Source organism: Homo sapiens, chromosome 4 (genome assembly GCF_000001405.40).
Source record: "Homo sapiens chromosome 4, GRCh38.p14 Primary Assembly".
Classification (NCBI taxonomy): Eukaryota; Metazoa; Chordata; class Mammalia; order Primates; family Hominidae; genus Homo; species Homo sapiens.
Genome location: NC_000004.12, coordinates 33339822 through 33348075, shown reverse-complemented (window position 1 = coordinate 33348075; position 8254 = coordinate 33339822).

Below are 8254 nucleotides of genomic sequence, written 5' to 3'. Positions count from 1 at the left end.
CTAGTATGTGCAATATGTTTTTTCTTAATAACATTTTCTTCTTGACTCCTTTAAAAACTTTTCCACTTCTTGAAATAAAGTAAAATCAGAATAAAATCTTTAGTTCTTCCTAAAATTAGAGACACAATTAGTGAAATATCCAGAGGGTATTATCCTACAGTTGAAGTCTCTTAGCAAATGAAAACTCATATACACTGAAGAAGGACAATAGAGAGATGTCATCAGTGTGAGGAGACAGAAGTGTCAGGGCATGTGTCACAGAAGTTTACATAGGAAATTGGATATAAATAATTGAAATGGTGTTGATAACTCAGAAAGATATTATTTTCAAAAACATATTCATTCAAAAAGGTCATGCTGACGCAACTGTGAGTAGAGTGGGTTCAGGTACACAAAATTAAAATAGAAATTAGTGTTTATGGCATTGAAAGAGGCTACAGAAATGTAAATGTTTATGTAGGTATTCAGTGGAATGATCCCCAACTTATTTTTCTCTTTTTATATTTTTTGCAAAATCTCCAAGAATTTCTTACACCTGTCTTGCAAACTCAAGGCACAGTAATTAATTGGGATTTTTTTCACCTTGTATTATTTGTTTGCTGATTCTTTTACTTATTTATCCCTTCCATTGATCTCATGTCTGATTCAAGAAATTGGTTGGAGTTGGAGGAAGGATTTGTACAAAGATCAATGAGACACAAAAGAGATATTTTTAATATGTAGAGGACAACAAACCAGTCAGCTTGCTAGGGCTTCCCTAACAAAATACCACAAACTGGATGGCTTACACAACATGAATTTATTGTCTCACGATCAGCAAGTCAGAATCAAGATAAAGGTATTGGCAGGGTTGGTTCCTTCTGGGGGCTGTGAGTAAGAAATCTGTCCCATGCTTCTTTTCTACCTTCTTCTTGTTACTTGCTCTACGTCTTTGGTGTTCTTTGTCATATGCTTCAATATCCTAATTTCTTCCTTCATTTTCACATGGTGTTTCTCCTGTGTGCATGTATATGCTCCAATTTCTCTGTTTTATAAGGACACCAGTCTGGATTACGAGTCTGCCCTACTCCAGTGTCACCGCATCTTAGCTAATTAGATCTAGGTAAATCTAATTCATCTTTTTGAAAAAAATAAGTAATCATTGAAATATTTGAAAGGAAGAAGTCAAAATAATCAGAAAGTTTTATGCAATACTAGAGGAAAAGGAAAATTGGTATGGTTCCTTTTAGATTGAAAATAAATATAATTTGTAATATCAGTAATATTTATAGTCATATTCATATTCATGCAGATACTTTTTATTTTTGCATAATGCAAATATCGCCTTGGGTAAGGCAATTCATGTTCATTCTCCAAGTGCCCAAGTAAGCATTACTCCTCTTATTGTCCTGGAGTAACTCTGAAAAAGAAAACAGGTGGGACTAGTCTCAGTCACTGGGAAAATTTATTGGCCATATAGTATCTACTACTCTTTGGAAATTAATAGAATTCCAGTGCAAATTGTATTACATTAGAGACATTTGCCAAAAATTATATGAGCTCCAGTATTCTACGTTCTTCCTAATTTTGACCCTCACTCATCACCAAGAACAAAGCAAAACATAACTAAAGTGGTAGGCGTACAGCCTTTGATGCTTATTAGATCTGAGGGCTGCACTTTTTTTTTTAACATTTTTGGACAGACTCTTTAGCACCAATGCCTACATAAAGGAATATTGTCTGGTTTCTTAACTGAGAAAGATGAGAAACAATGTACATCCTCTAAATAAGGATTTGCAGCAATGAAGAGAAGAAGATGAAAATTCTTAGAGTTAGCTAGTCATAAAGAATGGCATAGGTGCACAATTAAAAGTTTTCTGCACCTCAGAGTTTCCTCAAATTCAGTCTGAATACTAGGTTTTTTTTGGTTTATATTATGACCCAGTAACATCAACCTTCTACAAACTTAGCACATTTAATATTCTTCAATCCAAATTCATTTGGAATTTATTTCCAGTTGATGAATATCTTTATATTTAGCTTTTTTTTTCCTATTCTTGCCATCTTGAATTATAGGCTTTTCTCTAATATCTGGTTATCCTCTAGCAAATACTAGCTATTGTAAGTATTTTGCTTATATTTTTATTTTCTTTGTATTTAAAATTTAATTATCATATCCTTTTGAAATCTCTGTTATATGAAGTTTCCCTAATTATCAAAAGCAAAGCAATACAAATAAACAAAAGGAAAACATCAAATTGAAGTGAATGCAATAAATATATATATGATAAAGATTATATGCTATATAAGAACGCATAATAATTGATGAGAACAATGGACATGTCAAACATATAATTGGAAAATAATATCTATAAGAATAATTTCCCCCAAAATAATATTAATTATTTTGTGTATACTTGCAATGTATACATATCAAGTGCTTACTTTATGAAGGAATTTAAACTCCATTCTAGAGATATAGTGATGATGAAAGCAAACAAAACCCTTGCTTTCATGAAACTGTAGGCCTAGCAATAATGACAACCTTAAAAAAATTGCTATATTATTTAAATGCCAACATGACATGAATAATGAAATAAGATGAGCATCTATAAGAATATTGAACTTAGGTGATACTAGTGAAGTGATTTTAAGTATAAACCTCACTAGGAAGTAGGAAAAGTTGAGTTGATACAGAGGAAGAAATAGGTGCAATGTTTTGGGGACAAAAAATATTTTTAAAAATGTAAGAAATAAAGGACAATACAGCGGAAGACTGAGATAGGGCTAAAAGTGTAAAAACACAAGTCAGGAAGAATTTATGTGTGGCAGAATGTATTATTTGCTCAGAGTTCATAATTTCCTCTCTTCCTTTGTTGTTATTCAATGTGAGTGGGGTAAAATTGTTGTCACTAAGCATGGCTGTGTGACTTAGTTTAATCAATCTAATATACACGAGGTGAGAGAGAGAAAGTTCTGATTCCAAGGTTTTGCTTTGTTTTGTTTTTTTGGGACAGAGTTTTGTTCTTGTCGCCCAGGCCGGAATGCAATGGCACAATCTCGTCTCACTGCAATCTCCTCTTCCCAGGTTCAAGCGATTCTCCTCCCTCAGCCTCCCGAGTAGCTGGGATTACAGGTGCCTGCCACCATGCCTGGCTAATTTTTTTTGTATTTTTAGTAGAGACAGGGTTTCACCATGCTGGTCAGGCTAGTCTTGAACTCCTGACCTCAGGTGATCCACTTGCCTCAGCCTCCCACAGTGCTGGGATTACAGGTGTGAACCACCATGCCTGGCCCTGATTCGAAGTTTTAAGAGGCCCCTGTTGAGCTTCGGATGCCTGTTTGTACTGACAAACACACAGCCATGGCTTCTTCAGCTCAGAGCTAGGGTGAAGACTCCTGGATCTAACGCTGATCAGAGCACAGCCTAGCAGATAAGGACAGCCAAAAGAAACCAAACTACTACCAACCTACAAACCCATGAGAATAAAATTGATGATTATTGTTGGAATCCACAGAGATTGGTGGTTGTTTACTATGCAACAGTGTAGTTTCTGGCTATTTGTGTTTTATTTTTTATATCTTATAGTCTATTAACATATCTCAGGATTATTAACAAAATCTTTGGATTGTTGAATCATGTTAAACTTAACATGTTTAATTACCTTAAATTCTCTTACCTCTACCTTAAATTCTCTTACCTAAAAATTGCCATCTTTATTATTTTGAGTCTCTCAAACAATCCAAGAATATAGTTGGTCTTTTCATTTATTCAAGTTTCCTTTTGAGCAATTTGGTAGTAATTTATTTATTTTTCATATTGTTATCATTCCTTTTATAAAGTATGTTCCTTAGTATTTAATCTTTAATCATGTTTTTGTTATTGTATTTGGTATTTATATAAAACTCTTTAGTGAAACATGGATCAAAAGCAGAAAAAAGTTGATTAATACAGATTTGTGTATATGACTTTATTTCTTCTAGCTGTAATTTTATCTTTTTAGAGTTATGAGTAAAGTCTGATTATCTAAATAGTTTGGGGAATTATTTGTACAGCTATGAAGTAGTTGCAGGTTCAAATGAATAAACATGAATAATTTAATCTGTTCTCATAATATAAGTGAAAATGTAATTAAACAATGCTATTTAGAAAAGTTTTTGGTGGATTCAGAGATACATTGATTAATTTAATAAAAATGCTGAATGCATTTATGTATTACATGTACATGTGCACAATAGTATACATTTTTAAAAAGTAACTCATCAGTTATTATTAAGAGCCAGGCAAATTTTTATACCTTTTACTAGATGTATTACCATATTCAGTTAAACCTCATTTCCCTCTCAGGCTTTTGGCCACCTGTGGCTACCTCCTCATTTTGTAGCACATTTGATTATCTTGGCTGCCTTACTGTGGGTGCTAAGCCCCTTGCATGACTTCTGTGGGGTCCACTATGATGGAAACCACAGCATAGTCAATGCTCAGTTCCTACTCAACAAGTCTCATTAGGGTGCTGGCTTGCACCATTTCTAAATGCAAGTAAAATAGCATCAGAGAATCCTGGATTCTTAGGCTTCTGGCAGAAGGACTAGTTGATATGTACTAGAAATATGAGGAAGTTAACACTTCATGAGATAAACATTGGCCAATGATAAACAGAAAAAGGAAAAAATTTGCAGAAAAAAATTATCTTCTTTCCTCCCTCTGATGGACTATTCCATGGCCCAGTGCTTCCATATGGCCTGTTCAGAATGCCCTATATGATCAAGACACTAGTTATCTTTTCATTTGAAGTAACATATCACCTTGTATTCGCATGCACTTTTACTCTGCATCACATCCAATTTCCCTCATTTGCTGCCTGGGGATTACAAAGTTGATTAAAGCATTGTCGTGTGAGTTATGCAGCAAACTTTCGTTATTTTTCTTAGCGAACCAAGGCTAAAACATCTATGAATTTTCAAATTCTTCTCATTAGTAAAAAGACAGTTTTATGCATAAAAGCTATTCTTTTATCATAACTTGTAGAACAATTAGATAATTAGAGGCATATTAAAAGCCTAACAGCGACAAATATTTTAACTATTTTTTGGTCTATATGTTGAGATTTTTCTCATCATTAAATTTATTATACATAAATTTAGAAATAATGTAATGAGGAAATTAGGTAATGTTAGTGAAACAAGCTAAACAGAGAATTGTTTATACATTGATTTCAAAATGTAAACAAAATTTAGTAGTTATAATTTGGTGAAGATATGCACAAATATTAGATTATTTTCTTATACGAAAGATGTTTATTATTTATATCTTTCTTGCTCTTGTAATCCACGCAAAGCAAATTTTATTTGTAATATATTCAGTAATAATTCTCTAATTTATCAGAATCTAAACCAAACTTGCATTTGTCTAGTTATGTCATATGAGAAATATGTATGTGGTAAACACTTTGAAATTATTTTCTGAAAGTTTTGGGTAAAATTCTTAACACTGCATAAAAATGCAAAGTAATACAATGTTCTAGAGGCATGAAAACAGCTTTGTTCTATAAACTGGAACAAGCCTTCAAGGCTCAGAAACCAGGCATTTTTACTATGATTAAGAATATGAACCAATTCATAAAATGCAACTAACTCTAAAGTCATAAACATTAATCTTCAAAATGAAAGCCCGGAGTACACCAAAGTAGGAATAAATATGTAAAAATATAAAGTATAAAATTCTAAATAAAGTTTAATTATATTGTATACAGCTGCTTATATATTATTCTATATAATTTTTCATAGAAATATTAGTATTCCTTAATTTTAATGTTAAACAAAATTTAATTTATTAATTATAACATAAATTTCAAAACTTATTAAGTTCAAAAATATAATTCTTATTATAGTAAATGCTGTAATGTCAATACTTAGCACCATATTATTCTACAGCAAAGGTTTCTGATACTCTCTCATCTGTAATTATTCTATATATATAATTCCAGATGTTCTGACTGTGTGACATAAATTATATAAAGGAAGCATTGACAAGATGGTTATTTTCAACTCTAAAATATGAAGATTATTAAGTGCTTTTCTTAGGCACTCCAAACTTTTTTATTAGATCATGCTCCATACTTTTACTGGTAGATTTCTCAGTAGATGATAAACATTGTCATGATTGGTATGCTTAAATGTTCCTGTAGGGATTATGTGTGATCAAAATCTTCACAATGTGTGATTTACTGAAAATAACCTTTTGTTTTGGAGTAGAAACTGTTACTTACAAGATTTTCTAGGTTTTGTACAGCCGAAGAGTTTTATCGCATGACTTATTTTTCTTTCCTTCACTTGAACAATGACCACTTATAATAAGGATTCCTATTCAACACACTGATGGCCACATCTAAAAACATAGAAGCCAATCAGTCAAAAAATACAAAATTTTAAATTACCAAATATCACATTATCATCTGTGCTTCCCTTTCTCTCTCTGTCTGTCACTCACTTGCTCTCTCTCTCTGTCTCATAAGCATAAAGACTGAAATCCTCAATTACTCACCTCTGTGCTTCAAGGCAATTGTTGAAGAGCAAATATTCGTCCGGGCGCGCTGGCTCACGCCTGTAATCCCAACACTTTGGGAAGCCGAGACGGGCGGATCACGAGGTCAGGAGATCGAGACCATCCTGGCTAACACGGTGAAACCTCGTCTCTAGTAAAAATACAAAAAATTAGCCGGGCGAGGTAGTGAGCGCCTGTAGTCCCAGCTACTCCGGAGGCTGAGGCAGGAGAATAGCGTGAACCCTGGAGGCTGAGCTTGCAGTGAGCCGAGATTGCGCCACTGCACTCCAGCCTGGGCGACAGAGCGAGCCTTCTCTTAAAAAAAAAAAAAAAAAGCAAATATTCAAACACATGATAGATAGATGGCGGACTAGATACAGGTAGAATATGGTCCTCCACTAAAAGGAACGAGAATAGTAAGTAGGTACTCACATTTCAAACAGATCTGCTAGGATTCACAAGAGAAATGACAGGATGCACCAGAAGTAAGTAAGGAGAGTGTTTGAGGCAGCTTACTTGGCAAGAGACTGGCTGAGACCAGCGAAAGGCTCCTGCATGTGGGACATTAAGAGAGAAACCCTCATGTTTCCACAGTTCAAAATAGACTTTTACGATCAGCTATGGGAGATAATCTCAAATCACTAGGGCCTCTGGCCTGACATACGAAGTTACACTGAGACATTGCTCCAGTAAGGAAACCCACACGGAATCCCGCAGGCATCCAAGCCTCAAGCAGTTTCAGCTGGGTGTTATTTTGAAAGCCTAGATACTGGGGATCTACAGACATGGCTGCTGCTGCTGCATTGATCCAAGCAGGGAGAAAAAACACCGGGCACACCCATGAAACCCTGGGAGGGTCCCCATCACCCTGCTGCAGGCTGCAGTTGAGACTGAGTCATGAGAGGACCACACTCCCCACAGCTTTTTCCCCAGGCTGCTAGCCTAAGAGGATCCCTGCCCTCTCTGTTCCCAGGCCCAAGGCACCATTTTGAGAGTTTAATGCTGGGTTGTGTCCTGCCTCCAGGCTGAGTTCTGGCTGATGCAGCTGCAGCTGCTGCTTAGTTGAGGAGGGACAAGGAAAGAAGGCTCTCTGACACGTATCTGGGACAATACCCACCCCCCTGTTATGGGCTGCCATGAGAACAAAACTCAAGTAGACCGCACTAGGCACAGCTTCTTGCTCATGCTCCTAGCCTGAGGCGGTCCTAACCACCTTGGTCACGGCCCACAGCTGGCATCATTTTGAGAATTTAATTCTGGGCTATGCCTCATCCTTGTGCCAAGTTTGAGGTGATGCAAGCTGAAGTCACCACCCAGATTAGGGACGACCAAGGGAGGGACAAGCTCTTCTAAGCATATTTTGGATAATACCCACCTCCCTTATACAGGAGGTTGTAGGACTGAGGACTAGCTGACCCAACTCATCACAGCTACCAGCAACAGCAACATCTTCACCTTGGACGTGTTGCTCCACCACCGTTAGAGCTTCAGCTCTTTTCAGGGAACCCACCTACATATATGACTCACGAATTTTACTAGTAGCTTCCAAGCAAGCCACCTGGAGGCCCAAGAACCAGCCCTCTTGGATCTACTCATTTGCAAATCAGCATAATCTGATCTGGGGCCTAACAACAGGCACACTCAGGCCACTGTTGTCACCACTGTGTTCTGAAAACAATCTCAGATGGTGCCCAAGTTCTCAGCAAAATTTAACCACAACCTAAACTAATA